Below are 15,787 nucleotides of genomic sequence, written 5' to 3' on the forward strand. Positions count from 1 at the left end.
GTGAGAATCAGAGGTATGTTCTGGGGGTTTTTTTTGTTTGTTTTTGAGACAGAGTCTCGCTTTGTCATCCAGGCTGGAGTGTAGTGGCATAATCTTGGCTCACTGCAACCTCCGTCTCCCAGGTTCAAGCAATTCTCTCATGTGCCTCAGCCTACCAAATAGCTGGGACTATAGGCGCGTGCCACCATGCCTGGCTAATTTTTGTATTTTTGGTAGAGACAGGGTTTTGCCATGTTGGCCAGGCTGGTCTTGAACTCCTGGACTAAAATGATCTGCCCGTCTTGGCCTCCCAAAATGTTGGGATTACAGGCGTGAGCCACTGCGACCAGCCAGAGGCGTGCTGTGTTCTATTGGCTCTTTTGCCTACCAGTGCCAGAAATTTCCTACACTTCTTGGCATCTTGCTTTTCTCTCCTATGAAATAGGCAATACTAGTTGCCCTAGAGAAGAAATTTATCTAGAGAAAAAAATGTACAAGGTAGACACAGCTGGTGAGTTACCCTTATACTATTTCCAGTACTACCAATTTCATTTCTTCCAGAAGGATTTAGAATGCCACATAGTAGTTTTCCTGGTGCCATGCTTGAAATGGTGAATCTATTTGAAAGAAGGGATTTTGTAGTCACATTGATGTTGCTGCTTGCTGCAAGCCAGGCAAGTCACTTAATATCTTTATCCTTAAAAGAGGAATAATGTCACCTACCTCATGGTGTTACGATGAGGATGAAAGGAGGTCTGTAACTAAGGCACTGAACATGGTGTTTGATACTCACTGGGTACCCAGTAAATGTTAGTTTTCTTTGTCTAGACTATGTAGTGCTCTTCAGTTTTCACCCTGATCAAATTGCATTTGTTAAAAATTCCAAGTAAGACATGGCACTGGGTACTTTAAATAAAGGGGTGCTAAGGGAAGGTCAGCATGCGGTAGAGGGCTGAAAGAGCCAGTTACATTTGTTTGTTTGTTTGTTTTGTTTTGTAATAAACAACAGTGGCTTCTCATCTCCTTTCCCTGGTCCTGAGCCTGCTGAGTCACTGTTCCAGCCCTTGGGCCACATGATCTCAGGCTGTGTCTATGGAATACAGCAAAACCCACAAGAAACCAGCACTAATAGATGGCAGGTCATTTTGAGGGATTTTTCTTTGCGTTCCTGTGCTTGCTCTCCTGGTGAGATAGGAAACCTTTAATAAGACTTTTCCTAAATGATGTTGCATGTGAAATGCAGATTTTTTTTTTTCTGTTCTCCTAACAAATGACCATTTCATGAGGTTTCTTTTCATTTTTTCTTCTTTCCTGCTTCTCAGTACATTCCACAAAGAGCTTATTCCTCTGCTGGTTACTGATTGATGGTTCTACTCTGTATGCCCTTTAATTTTGCAATAAACCAACAAGGAGTTGAGACCACAAACTTAAAGAGAATTGACTTATTTGACTGGATTCACTGGAGCCAACAGGCAGATTTAGTCATTTCAGTGTGGTGCTAGGGAGGGCAGGAGGAGTCCATGAGAAGGAACACCGTGTTGTCAATAACCAGACAGAAAAAAGCTTGCTTGTCCTCTCATTCCAAAGCATGTGGGCATCTGTTCTCGGCAGTGATGCCTTTCCAGGCCTTGATGAAGGCAGGACGGCTTCCATGAGATTTGCTCAGAACTCCAGGATTCTGAATTCAGTGGGACTTTAGGTATGTAGGATTGGTAGTCAGTGTTTCCAGCTTCTGTGTCCCTTTTTTCAAAGGGATCATGGTATACCTTGAAGGACTGCAGGAACAGCCATAAACCCTCCTCAGTTACCAGTCGTTAAACAGCCTGGCCTCTTGGCTAGATGACTTCAAAGACCAAAGACAAACCCCTGGCCCTATCACCTCTATCCTAGCTGAGTCTTTAACATAAGGCCAGGACCTCTGTCAGGTTATAGAGGTACTAATATACTTCATGCGCTGGTTCCCAAATATATTAAGAATTAATTATTTTTTTTCTTATTTAGCACTACCATTGTACAGAGCAACCCATCCGAAAAATAAATACAAATATCATTTCAAATAGGAAAAACAAGAAAATATTTCTTAAACTAAAGACCTTTAGTTTTAGAGGTATGCATTTGAAAACACAGATACTATCATCACGTATATTTAAGACTGGTTCCAGACCCATGCTGCTCTCTGTGCGTTGAAATGAAACTGAGAAGACAAATGCCCAAATGGAATTTTTCCCACCTGTGAACTCCTATTCCAGATCCCAGTGTTGTTTGTGGCTCTTCCACATTTAACCAGCTAACTGCCTGCTCTTATTCTGTTCTTATGTGACAACCAATCTTCTGAAACTCTCGTCATCACATTTCAGCAGAAGTGAAAATATTAGCAGAGTGGTTGGTGGCCAAGACAGAAATAGAACCCAGGAGTCTGTGTCCTTTCCCTTGCCGGACCTACTGGAGCATGGTTCCTCCTGCCTGAAGACTCAGTGTTTCCAACTCTAACAAACAGAATTCTAACAGTTGACTGGTTTCTTCTTGCTACTCAAAATTTGTTTTATACTTAAACATTTTGTACAGTTTTTTCTTTATGAATGATTTTGCATTAAACAAATGGGACTTGGTTAATCTGATATCAGTGAATGCCTTATTCTGAGGAAATTAATCCACAAATATCCGTGGGACCATGAGTTTTCATATTGAGAACCTTTTTATGTGATAGACTAGAGAGCCAGGTAGACCAGGTCTGCGTCTGGTGCTCCCATGTGCCAGCTATTTGATCTCAAAAAATACCTCAACTTCTTGAACCTCAGTTTCCTCATCTTTACAACCAGGATGATAACGTTTACCTCACTGAGTTGTGAGGATAAAATAAGCCAACACAACTCAAGCAATTGGTAGGGGTCTGACACATAGGAAATGCTTAGTGAACGTGAGTTTCCTCTCTTCCTCCTTCACTCCTTTAGAATAGGGTTAGAGATGTAGAAACACATAAAATCTCATGAAATGTGCACCATAGAGAGAGAAGGATAACACAAATGACATAAAAAGTCTTGTACTAAGTTACTTGGTATTGATTCTAAAGTCAGGGTATTATCTAGGGCAAGGTGGCTCACACCTGTAAACCCAGCACTTTGGGAGGCCAAGGCAGGAGGATCACTTGACCCTTGGAGTTTGAGACCAGCCTGGGCTGGGAACATAGGGAAACTCCGTCTCTACAAAAAATAAAACATTGGCCGGGTGTGGTGGTGCATGCCTCTGTTCCCAGCTCCTCTTGTGTCTGAGGTGGGAGGAACGCTTGAGCTCAGGAGTTCAAGGCTGCAGTGAGCCGTGATTGCACTACTGCAGTTTAGTCTGGATGGCAGAGCAAGAGCCTGTCTCAAAAAAAAATGAAAAAAAAAATAGAAGAAAAAGAAGTAAAGTATGAGTATTAAGAAGTGAGAGAAAAGTTAGGGCTAGAATAGTTAGCAAAGATATCATGGAAAAGGTAGGATTTGAACTGGCCCCTCAAAGATGGAAACTTACAGAGTAAAGGAGGCTATTTCAGACTGGGGCATTTGGGGTGGGTAAACCATGAGAAATAGAGAAATTAGAACGAGAATGTTATAAGCCTTGGTTTTCCTATTGGAATAATTGAACGCAATAGAATAATAAGTAAAAGGATAATATTAATATGTGTTAGGCACTGTCTTAAGTGCTTTATATGCTAACTCATTTATCCTTAAATAGGTAAGATTGCTATGCCAATTATACAGTTGAAGAAAGTGAGGCACAGAGACATTAACTAATCTACCTGAGTAGGTGTGGAATAAATAATCTACAACTAGTAGGCAGTGGAGCTGAGCTGGAAGCCCAGGGGATCTGACTCCAGAGTCCACCCTCCTAACCCAGGACAGCTGCTTCAGTCACTTCCCAGCTCCCCTCACTCTGCATTGAGGATCAGCTAAGACCATTCTGTGAACATACCCTGAAAAGTATAAAGTACCATATACGTGTAAAATGACATGGTTATTCTTATTAATGATGTCATATGAGAGGCGACAAATAGCTACCTGAAAATGAGGGAGAAAAACTATGGTCTAGCACCCACATGCAGTTGTACTGGGCAGGTTTAGCCAGTGCACAGCATATATGCCTCACCTTCCTCTCTAGCGACTCTTGAGTCCTGAAAGCCTCACGTTTCCCATTTGGACAGTGTTCCAGGAGGCCATTTCCAAGCCAGTATCAGAGACTAAAAACCTGTTTGGCATCTGGCAGTAGGGCTTGTGCCTCAAGTGTGATCTGCCTTTGGCCAGGACATCCTTTTTTTTTTTTTTTTCTTTTGAGATGGAGTTTTGCTCTTGTTGCCTAGGCTGGAGTGCAATGGCGTGACCTTAGCTCACTGTAACCTCCACCTCCTGGGTTCAAGCGATTCTCCTGCCTCAGCCTCCCCAGTAGCTGGGATTACAGGCACGCACCACAACGCCTGACTAATTTTTTGTAGTTTTAGTAGAGACAGGGTTTCACCATGTTGGCCAGGCTGGTCTTGAACTCCTGATCTCAGGTGGTCCACCTGCCTCGGCCTCCCAAAATGCTGGGATTACAGGCATGAGCCACCATGCCCAGCCTCAGGACATCCTTTTTAACGGGCTTGTACCACATGATTGGGAGTTTGAATGTTAGTAACCATGATAGAAGATCTCCACTCCAAGGGCATCACCGTGGGAGGAAGCCTGCCCCTACTTACCATGTAAATATTTAGCCATTTCAATATATTTGTTCTGGACTTGTTCTTCTTATGTGTGTCTCCTGTGTTGAGTCTGTTTAATTGTAGGTTATTATTGTGTGTCTATATTGATGTCATTTCTTTAAGTACAGACACAGACAGCATTGCTTCAGCTGCCCCCACCCCTCCTTTTAAAAATAACACCTTACACAATATCCCTTCCTTGAGGACATCAAATAAATAACTTTTGTTCAAGAGCATATCTGATGAGGTGGCTAACTTGGAAATTTGTTCCTAGGCAGACCTTGTGACCTCTGTTTCAATACATAGTGAGTGGCCTTTGCTCCCATTTTATGCTACAGATTCACTCTGGAGATAGAATTGGTTGCACCTCTCCAGGCAGTGAGTTTGGAGAGCCCTTGGTGGTTAGGATGCCATTTGTGCTGGTGGCACAGAAATACAAGCAGTAAGCCCAGAGTTGCTTACTCTCCACTGGAGGTTTCTCAGAGGCTGGGGGGGACCCGAGACTCCTCTGCTTCAACTCCGCTCTACTATATGCCACTGGAAGTGTAGCTGAGGCTGAAGGGTATCAATGTTGGTATTTATCAGGTTGGACTCCCCCAAGTGCCCTATTTTCATACCTCCAAGGAGCAAGTGATTCAACAGAACTGTTTTCTTGGCCTCAAATGAGTCTAAGAAGGGGAAATCACTTAATACCAGCCGTCTGTGAGGGACCGATCACAAAGCTGTGTCTTTCTAATCCTCCTTGTAAATCAAAGGGAGGGGAATCCCCAGAGCCCAGGAGTACACATGAATAGAAAGCACCACAGGTAATAAAAACACCTAAAAAGGTCAGCAGAAACTCGGGGAGCTGCTGGAAATTCACCTCCTCTGCCTTTCTATGGGACTCAGTGGGCAGTGATCAGGTAGCAGGCAAGGATACCCAACTACACACCAAAGCAACTTGGCCACAGGACACGTACAGTGCAGCAGAAGGCTGGTAGGATAGTTTCTTCCACATCCATGTGAACCTCAGAGTCATCTGACCATTGGCCTTGTTCTCTTCCAGGTTCTAGCTGGCCAGAGACTTTTTTGGCCTCATACTAACTGCAAAATTGCACACAGTTGGCGAATACACCACTGGAAGCCACTGTGGCTGCATTGTCACAGTTCACCAATTGTGCATGTTATTTCCTGCAGTGGGCCCAAGATCACTGACAGGATGCCGTCGGGGTTGGGCTGAAGGTGGAAACAGCACACTAGCTTGCTGTTTGTGGCCTCTTTACAACTGCCGGCCCCATCTGAGATCCGGAACCAACACGTGCTAACCTCAGCCCATTGGGGCCAGTGGGGCAGCCAGCAGTGGAACCATAGCTCTCCACACCTATGTCTATGGCACGGTAGCTGCCGGCCCACAGTTTCCACTGCATCCCCTTGCATGTGCACCCCAAGAGAAGTAGGCCAAAGAGAAAGCTGCCTTAGGGAGCCACATGGTTATCTTGTGTGTTTACTTTTGCCAAATGGCAGACACAATTCTACTTCAATGCATTTTTCTGAACTCAGTGGTCAAAAGTAGCACGGAAGCACTACTTGCGTCAGCCCCCTCTGTGATTGAGCGAGTGTGTGCTTGTGCAAAGCTGAGGAGATTTTTTTTCACCTCCTCCTTCTGCATTCCCTCAGACTGAGCCACTCTCTTCTTTAGGGGCTCCCCTACTAGGCAGAGTGTTTCTCTAGCTTTGCCTGTGGATTTCACAGTGAAATCTACAGAAGACAGTTTTCCTCAGGGCTGATAATAAGAGGTATGAACTTATTAAGATTGGAAGCATTCTCACCATAAACACAAATTATTTCAAGTTGCTCCTTCATCCCCTTTTCCTTGGCCACTGCCATTGGTTCTGTGTAGGATGGATTTCTTAAGGTTGAAGATAAGCAATGCAAAGGTGGAATTTTGAGTACAGCACTCATCCTAATGTGGGTGAAATATATGAAACATTTATTCTAAGCAGACTGCTACATTAACAGTTGTTATACATTCATTCTCTGCATATCTTTTGTGGACTCAACACTTTTAGGTACAGAGAGGTTAGGAGAATTTCCCAGAATTGCACAGCAGGTTAGTGACAGTGCCAGAAATAAAAGTCTGCCTGACTCCCACACCCATGTTTTCTTCAAGCCAAATTGAAGTTTGGCCTCTTCTCCACAAATATTTCACAAGAAAAATTCCCCACAGCCTTTCAGAATTTCCCAGAAAACAATTGTTGTGCAGTCCTTCAAGATGGAAATGGCAGGCTGGAATATTGAAACCTTATCAGCTTTTATTCTAGAACTGACAGTTGATATTTTCTGAGCTGAAGCTAAGATAAAAGTTTATTTTTGTGTTTTTTTTTTTTAATCGTGGAATGATTTTTGATTTTCCAGAGCATGGCAAAACTAAGCCAGCAAATACTAAAACCACATTTGTTTTTGTGACGCTCAAACTCCGTAACAAATATTGGGTATCTCTATACAAAGCTGGATGTGGACAGGAAGGGTTTGGGATGGGGAGAGGCATGCGTCTGGGAGCGTGGCCTTTCTGGACCTACCCTGTTCTCACTCTCTTCCTTCTGCCTCTTGCCCTCATTGCTTTCCTTATTCTCTTTCTTCCTCTTGTCTCCTTCTCACCTCCAGCTCCTACCACAGCAGACAGGTTGGGGCAGACACCGTCATGGTTGGGGAGCAGGAGGACAGCATGGGGAAAACCACTCCAGGCCTTTCTCTCAAACCTTAGTGATGAAAGGACTCAATGGACCTGAACAATTTCTCACAGGAAAGTTCCGGTCTCTGTCTCCTTAAAAGCAAGGCATTCAGTAACCCTTAACAGAGCCAGGATTAAAACTTGAATTTCTGACTTATCCCAGGCCTCTGTTTGGATAGAAAGGCTAGGTCACTGTCATATATGGCAATTAGGATCACTTCAGATACAAAAGTAACATTTTTAAAGCTGTGCCTTAAGCAGAGAGACCATTTTTAGTACAAAAAGGAAAAAAAGATTAACTGTGCCTTCAGAGCTGATGAAAGGCAGAGCCTCGTCACTTTGAAAGCATTGGATTTAGTGCCAGGCGGGTTGGTGAGTAGACTCAGCACCCACATTCTCTTCTTGCGTCTCTCTCTGGCCACCCAGATTATCCAGGGGCTGCTGTTTACTTGAGAGCTAGAAGTATCAGGACGGACTATCACTGCACCTCGCCATCCTGGCCCAGTTAAAGTGATTTTGAAACTTCCTGATGTGTGTTAGATTGTGGCAGGTTTCTGCCAGGGAGTGGGCGGGAGGAGGAAGCAGGTGTTTTTATGGGCTAGAAATGCCCCTGAGATGCCTGAGGTTGCTTCGTGAATCCTCTAGCCCAGCCTACCCCTTCAACTCTGTTGCACAGAGACATGAGTTCCATGAAAAATTTAGTTTCAAAACTTCCCGTGGGCGCCGGAAATGATAACCACATGTTATCAAGAGCCACTGAAAACCACCAAAAATTTGTCAAAATTCATATAAGATTGCCTCACATACTTGACTTTCATAGAAGCGGAAGCCATTGACCTACTTGATTTATGGTATTTATTAGCAGAGTCTGAAAAGACTTTTATCACAAGATTGATCTTGTTACAGTGTAGCATCTTGACCATCTTTCAGTGTATTTCTGGATATTAGATTTATTTGTTTATTACTTTTATAGGTGGAATTCTCTAGACCATGACATTAAGGCCTGGAGAAGTCACCTGTCAGTAGATCTGAGCTGAGAGTTTCTCTCTCTTCTCCTGTGTCCCATGTTGCCTTAGGAAGGAGAGCAGGCAGGGAAGCCTGCATGCCCTTATCTCATCTGTACTATTGGTCTTAGGTGACTCCAGTTCACTTGGTGGAAAATGGGGATTACAAAATTTGCCTCTCAGCTGCCCCCACAGAAATCTCAGTGATGGCGTTTGTCAGATTCTTGGGTCCTTAAAAAATCTGACTTTTAAATATCGAATAATTATTTTGCTGATCATGAATATCTCTTCTGCTGACCAAACAGGACCAGATATCACATTCCAACCTATTCTATCCCTGGCTGACCACAAACTCCCTCTTCTTTGTCCCCCACCAAAAGTCAGGTAAAATGAGCTGTTTCTATCAAAGGCTGTGTCTTCAGGCCTGGCCATTTCCCACTCAGGTCTCCAGTGCTATCCAATTTTCTCTTCACCTGTACATTCTAGTACTCATGGAAGGCTCCAGTATACAAAATGGCTACTCATGGGGCCCCCTCCCCTTCCACCCCACCAAAGATATTTCTAACCTTCAATGTAGAGTAAGTTAGAATTGACATATACATTGTCCCTTAAAGGCCAGGAACATTAAGCTTGAGCAGAGGGTAGGTGTAGCCTGGGTATAGTCTAGTCATAGCCTAGCTAAAGAAAGATGAGTCAGCTGAAGGCAGAGGGTCTGCATTGGGCACATAGACTGGCAGAGAGTTGGGCTCAGTTGGCTCAATCCTCTGACTAATGACCAGTTAATTCTGCTTATTCTCTCTTAACTCAAGGTATTTGCTGCCTTAAGCTACTTTTTAAATACTTAGTGGAAATAAGTCATCTATTTTCATTAGTGTGTGTGTTGTGTGTGTGTTGGTTGGATTTTCCTGGCCAGGAGCCTCTGCCTTCTGACCAAAATGACATTGATTCCCAGCCTTCTGCCTTAGCAGTTCATCCCATCTTTAACTGGTTCCCCTCTATCTCTTTTCTCTAGCTTATATGCCTTGCTGGCTGTGAAAGGAGGACCTACTGGGTGGTCTATGAATCTATACCCCGTATTTCTTTTTTAAAGATCTTAATTTTTCTCCCTATTTTTCCTTGTGGGAAGGCATTAAAAATGGGACTCAAGGTCTATGTGACACTATATGAGGTGCCATTTCCTATACAGGTGCACCTCTGTAAGCAGCATACAGTTAAGAGGGCAATGCAAAGAAGCTTTGGGAGTAAGCATTCTCTCATATATAAAGTTGAGTTGAGACAGAAGTTACTTTATACAAATATAGGGTTTCTTGTTCCTTCTAATAGGTGGATGGTATTCTTCTTCCTCGAGAGAAGCTGATTAAGTTGGATTCTGTCTATTCCTGGCTTCAGACCTAATCATGACCATTAAAAATATCTATCTTTTCCTTTGTCCAAGAATCCCACTCTGGTCTTGCATTGTAATTGGTGGTGTTGGGGGTGTGTTGCGTGTTTTCAATAAGCCTTATTTTAGGGAAATAGCAAAAATAGCATATGTACTTTCAATTAAATTGTTATTGCTTTTGAACATATTGACAGCAAATATTTGTTATTTGTCAGTAGTGGCCTATATGCTGTATAAAAGGGAATCAGGCATGGGTTTTATAGCTAAACAAGCAAGGTATAAATCAGCAAAGGATAACTAATGACAGTGGTGGGGTAACATTTTCCATAGGCCGGGTACTGTGCTAAGGACTACCTGTGCGTTATCCAGCTGAATCCTCAGAACCATGTGAGCTAAGTATTATCATACCCAGAGAGACTATGAAGCTTGCTCCATGTCACACAGCGAGTAAATGGTAGAGCCCAGGATCTAAGTTCAGGTCTGATTCCAAAGCCCTTGTCCTAAACACTGTGCAAATTGCTCTTACACAAATTTAGTACTGAGCATCAGAAGACTCAGTCTTTCCCATGGAGCAAAGCAGCAGGAAAACCCCATGAAGCGTCAGTTAGAAACCAGACTGTGTTGAGTCTGTTTATAAATTATAATAGTATTTCATGTGTTATTTTAAGAGTATAGTTTTCAAGTCTCTTGATTGCCTCAGAGGAAAATATACCTATAGTCTTCTTCCCAAGTTGTGATGATTGTAATCAATGCTTTGGGAAATGTTTTCATTCTATCCTTTTTGCTGAAAACAGATTTAGAAAACCACAACAATTCAGTAAGATGGCATGATTAGCAAAGCCCTGAGTTTGGTTGCTATGTATCCCTTTGGTGATTTGGCTTTAAGACATGTAATTAAAAGGGAGAGGATTATTAGCAAAATAAGTTAGGAGCTTGTTCTTTTGCCATTGGGGAGTGAATATTTTCTTCCCCATCTACTCTTTCACCAGAAGTGGAAATGATGCTGGGTATCTTTTGAGGTATATCTGTAGTTCAGTTTTAGGTTCTGTAAGGTAGCATTTCATTAGTTCTGTACAATAAAACCGTCATCTCAGTACAGGTTTCCATTACAGAACCAGTGAAGTGAGAATAAAACTGAGGAAAAGTGGTCTAAATATTTTAGTCAGTGCCTTGTCATTGAATTTGTAAGTTTCTGGAGCATACAGTACCTTTATATCTTGATTTCCCCCATGTATATGGTGACATGCTTTGCATGGTAGGTATTAAGTAAGAATTTTTTTCTCATTACTATTAACCATATCATTGGAGTCCCAATCATTTTCACCAAGCCATCATTTAAAAGAATCACAAAAATATTAGAGCTGACACATTTAGATCTCTCAGAAGTTCCACATTTTTTTTAACTAAGATAGACAAATACATTATTCAGTTTATTGGTAGATAAAGCACATAGTATTTTCAGAGCAATGTCAGTATCTTATTGGCCTTGATTTAAATGACTATATTTTTCTTACTAAGATTTTTACACAAATTCTTTGCAATTAAATAAAACTTAGGAAGGACTAAAATAGGTAGAAATGATCAGGTACCAAAGTATATCCTGATATAGAAAATTGTGATTTAGTGTTCTATTGTTAGAACCAACTGCCTGGAGCCTATGGCATATACTAATTTATTAACCTGTATATGCTCATTCTGAAGGAAATAATAACAATAACAACAATTGCTTCTATTTATTGAATATTTACTATGTGTCAGATACTTTAAGTATCTTACATTGATTGTCTCATTTAATTCTCATAAAAATTCTATGAGATAGATATTATTTTACCTATGAACAAATGAAGCTCAAAGGTACACAGGATCAAAATTGGAATTTGAACCCAGTTTTACTGAACTTCAAAGCTCATACCCTATATTATAAAAGAGAAATGGCCGGGCATGGTGGCTCATGCCTGTAATCCCAGCACTCTGGGAGGCCGAGGTGGGTGGATCATTTTAGGTCAGGAGTTCTAGACCAGCCTGGCCAGCATGGTGAAACCCCATCTCTACTAAAAATACAAAATTAGCCGGGCATGGTGGCACAAGCCTGTAGTCCCAGCTACTTGGGAAGCTGAGGCAGGAGAAATGCTTGAACCTGGGAGGCAGAGGTTGCAGTGAGCTGAGATCACGCTATTGCACTCCAGACTGGGCAACAGAGTGAGATCCTGTCTCAAAAAAAAAAAAAAGAGCAATGAACACAGTTCCTTATTTATACTCATAGAGCTGAACAGTTATTTCAAGGAGGCTACTTGACCATTTCCAGCCACTTTAATTGAAGACATATCTTAGGTGATTCTCACCAGTCTATGGAAAGTAGCAATACGAAAGAATATGAGAGATAAGATTAGCAAATACTGAGTGGAATCCTGCAATATCTGATTATTGCTGCAGAGTGACTGGAGACTCACAAGCCCAGTGGGCACACAGAACTTAAAAGATTGTCTTTGCTACTCGAGTAATTCATTTCTTTACCTGACCTTGCCGTCCCGGTCCCTCTCAGCCCTCAATTAAGCTGCCATTGATATAGGATTTATAATGTGTCACTGGTCCATTCAGGATACAGTGACAGAGGTGTGGCTGAAAAGCTGGATAATAAAAAATGGAGGCAACTTCCATTTCTGTTCAAATCAGGGTAGCAACAAAACCATAGCTGACCCTTGTTTCAGACCAGCACAGTCCAGCTAGACAAATATTCCAAGCACTGAATTGTGCACTAAATGCCTAGTGCCCCTTTCAGAAGGGACATTGCCTCTGAGTGACCAAGATGCTCATAGTTTCTTCCCACGATGAGAACATCTAAACCTTGGAAAATGATTGTGGTATTCATTATGTTATAATTTTCCAGAAAAGAATCTGTATTTATTCTTCCTCTAGGCTTCTAAACAATAAGGTAGGTTTTACAAATGAGAATTTTTTAGGAATAGTTTCTTGACTATACCAAATTTGAAAATTTGTGTGGCATTCGACCACATGAATTAGGTAGTATTAGAGTCCTTTCCAGGGATCTTAAATGTTATGAACTTTATTTTGTATAAGTAGGATTATGCTCATTTGTGTCTTAAATACACAGTGAGACTTTGGACTTTTTTTTGTTAGAATTTTATGTTAGAATTTAACTATTTAAAAGAGGAGTGTTATTTCTTTAGAGTCAAACTCATTCATTCCTATATCACAAATTTGGAAATAAAACTCTGACTTTTAACGATAACAAGCAAAGAAGCCACAGGCATCCAAATTTTATTTTATTTATTTATTTTTATTTATTTATTTATTTATTTATTTGAGACAGAGTTTCTCTCTTGTTGCCCAGGCTGGAGTGCAATGGCACGATCTAAGCTCACTGCAACCTCGGCCTGCCGGGTTCAAGCAATTCTCCTGTCTCAGCCTCCTGAGTAGCTAGGACTACAGGCGCCTGCTACTATGCCCGGCTAATTTTTGGTATTTTTAGTAGAGACAGGGTTTCTCCACATTGGCAAGGCTGGTCTCAAACTCCTGACCTCAGGCGATTCGCCCGCCTCAGCCTCCCAAAGTGCTGGGATTACAGGCATGAGCCACTGTGCCTGTCCCCAAATTTTAAATTATTAATTGTATTCAACACCAGTAATATCTTAGGTTGTGGTTGCAATTTTATTTTATTTTGTTTTTAATTTATTTTTATTTATTTATTTATTTTTGAGATGGAATTTCGCTCTTGTTGTCCAGGCTAGAGTGCAATGGTGCAATCTCGGCTCACCACAACCTCCGCCTCTCGGATTCAAGCGATTCTCCTGCCTCAGCCTCCCGAGTAGAGTAGCTGGGATTACAGACATGTGCCACCATGCCTGACTAATTTTGTATTTTTAGTAGAGACTGGCCTTCTCCATTTGGTCAGGCTGGTCTCAAACTCCTGACCTTAGGTGATCCGCCTGCCTCAGCCTCCCAAAGTGCTGGGATTACAGGCATGAGCCACTGTGCCTGGTGGATATAACTTTAAAAATTAAAGTCTGATAAAATGTGTACATGTGCATTTAATTGTGGTTAGCTGCCTATTATTTAACCAATATGATAACACCCCTCAGTCCCAACTTACTCAGCATTTAGAATGAATTGATAGAGGTTTTACTCTGAAAAAAGTCAGTCTATTTCCTCAGTTTTCTGGGTTTTGAATAACTGCTAGGCCTTGCCAGATAATTCTGGCCTAAAGATAAAGCTGGTGAAAGTCAGGGCTGGGGTTTTGCTACCTGTGTATTTATCAGTCTTCTCCTAAACCATAGTCTGCCTTTTGATAGCTCTAATAATTAATTTGGTCTTCCCTGTCTTTCTTCTCCCTTGCCCCCTACCCCTTCTCCCTGTCTGTTCACAGGTTATCTTGACGAATCAGATTACAACCCATCTGAGTGGAGCCCTGGCTTCTCAGGCAGACCTGGTGTCTCCAGCTGATGATTTGTCCCTGTCTGAAGGTAAGGAATCTGTCCTGGAGAGGCTGAAACTTGACACTGACATAGAGCCCCACTGCCTCTCCACCTCCTGTTGAGAGCTGGGAGATATGGCTAATAGGCCCTGGCCAGTGAACCCAGCCGGAGCCTGTTGATTTAGGTTTGGCCACCTTTCCTGGCATCTGATCTCTTATATTGGGGAGTCTTTTGCCCTGCCTCTATAAGGGAGCTCCATTTGGAGGCCAGTCACTCCTCTGTGTGTTATTTCAAGTCCTTAGTATGAGGGCTGATGAATTGTTAAATGACTTTGTTTTTGAGACTGATACTCAAAGGTTGGCTTTCCCAGTGGTCCCCTAGCAATTTAGCCTTTTGCTTGTGCTGAGTTCTTTTGGACTAAAAAGCGTACATCAGTTTCATGTGCCAGAGATATGACATTCCTGATCAGCTTTACAGAAGATTAAGAAAAAAATCTCCACGCTGGTAAATCTGCAAAATTTTCTCCACCCTCCCCTGCTAGCAAAGGTCAGGCTGGCTATGGTTTCGATGGCAATAAGCTTTACGTAGCTGGGGAAATAACACCAATAAACCAGAGGGTGGTTTCTAGTTTTATTGAAAGTGCTTACTTGACATTTCTGAGTTGTTATCCTTGTAGTCTAGTATCTTTCATGCAGAATGCTGTGGGTCTGGGTAGACATGCATAGCTCTTCCAGGCCCCTCCTCCCTTTCCACTTTCTGAGAATTGCTCATGAAGGAATACAGGAGACTTTTAGGCCTAGCAAGGCTCCTGGATGGCTGCCCAGGTGATCTTCTGCAGATCAGCTTTGCTTTATGGTCTTAGAAATTGCAAGAACCACACCTCTGCTTCTTAGTGGTGGCTTTAGGAGGGAAAACTAGTGGCTAATTTATGAAAACTGTACAATGCTTTGTGTACGCTCCTTCCAAGTTCAGGGATACATCATCATAACCCCTATCAGCGAGGCTGAAAACCTGAATCATCGAGCATTCCTCCCTCCTGAAACTTTTGTCATCAAGTCTGCTTAGTACTTCTTTCCGCATGTATCTTTCCTTTGTCCCCTCTTTTTTGTAATGTGTGTTGTGATCAGCAGATTTACTAAACTCCCAATTGAATTATTTTAATAACATCCAGATTGGCCTTCCCAGCTCTAGCCTCTACAGTTTCCATTCTGCCACTACCAAATTGAACTTCCCCGTCTGGCCTTGTTCTGCTCTGTTGCTCTCCTACTCAGAAATCTTAGAATAGTTTTTTTTGTTTGTTTCTTTTTTGTTGTTTGTTTTGTTTTTGTTTTTGTTTTTTCTGAGAATGAGCTAAAATCAGTAAGCTGATTTTAACATATTTAGGGATTTGGGATTTGTTAGCTTGAAATCAGCCATGGTGAAAGTATTTATACCATGGAAATCAGCAAATGCTGAAAATCAGGTGGCTTGTTTTTTTATTTCCTCCCTTTGCGTAGACTGGTTTTCAAAACACCACTAGATAAAGTGAATGATTTCAACCCTTCATAATCTGTCATTTCCTTTCTA

At 42.0% G+C, this 15,787-nt stretch overlaps 1 protein-coding gene across 12 annotated transcripts in view, besides 6 other annotated features; it reads left to right on the forward strand.

The window, feature by feature from the left end:
* Positions 1-15,787, forward strand: part of RAD51B (RAD51 paralog B) — an 863,318-nt gene that overhangs the window by 457,933 nt on the left and 389,598 nt on the right. For all 12 annotated transcript variants that reach the window (NM_001321818.2, NM_001321809.2, NM_001321821.2 and 9 more), the window contains one exon: positions 14,173-14,269. In NM_001321818.2, coding sequence (NP_001308747.1) covers positions 14,173-14,269 — 97 coding nt within the window. The remainder of the gene's footprint in view (positions 1-14,172; positions 14,270-15,787) is intronic.
* Positions 1,261-1,555: a silencer, noted in NCBI's record as "tiled region #2611; K562 Repressive non-DNase unmatched - State 7:EnhWF". NCBI's record gives its function as "represses a minimal TATA promoter and a strong SV40 promoter by Sharpr-MPRA in K562 cells {active_cell/tissue: K562}" and the evidence as "EXISTENCE:reporter gene assay evidence [ECO:0000049][PMID:27701403]".
* Positions 2,235-2,404: an enhancer, noted in NCBI's record as "active region_8596". NCBI's record gives its function as "activates an Ori minimal core promoter by ATAC-STARR-seq in GM12878 lymphoblastoid cells {active_cell/tissue: GM12878}" and the evidence as "EXISTENCE:reporter gene assay evidence [ECO:0000049][PMID:35858748]".
* Positions 5,654-5,723: an enhancer, noted in NCBI's record as "active region_8597". NCBI's record gives its function as "activates an Ori minimal core promoter by ATAC-STARR-seq in GM12878 lymphoblastoid cells {active_cell/tissue: GM12878}" and the evidence as "EXISTENCE:reporter gene assay evidence [ECO:0000049][PMID:35858748]".
* Positions 7,460-7,509: an enhancer, noted in NCBI's record as "active region_8598". NCBI's record gives its function as "activates an Ori minimal core promoter by ATAC-STARR-seq in GM12878 lymphoblastoid cells {active_cell/tissue: GM12878}" and the evidence as "EXISTENCE:reporter gene assay evidence [ECO:0000049][PMID:35858748]".
* Positions 7,560-7,619: an enhancer, noted in NCBI's record as "active region_8599". NCBI's record gives its function as "activates an Ori minimal core promoter by ATAC-STARR-seq in GM12878 lymphoblastoid cells {active_cell/tissue: GM12878}" and the evidence as "EXISTENCE:reporter gene assay evidence [ECO:0000049][PMID:35858748]".
* Positions 7,780-7,829: an enhancer, noted in NCBI's record as "active region_8600". NCBI's record gives its function as "activates an Ori minimal core promoter by ATAC-STARR-seq in GM12878 lymphoblastoid cells {active_cell/tissue: GM12878}" and the evidence as "EXISTENCE:reporter gene assay evidence [ECO:0000049][PMID:35858748]".

Source organism: Homo sapiens, chromosome 14, assembly GCF_000001405.40.
Source record: "Homo sapiens chromosome 14, GRCh38.p14 Primary Assembly".
Lineage (NCBI taxonomy): Eukaryota > Metazoa > Chordata > Mammalia > Primates > Hominidae > Homo > Homo sapiens.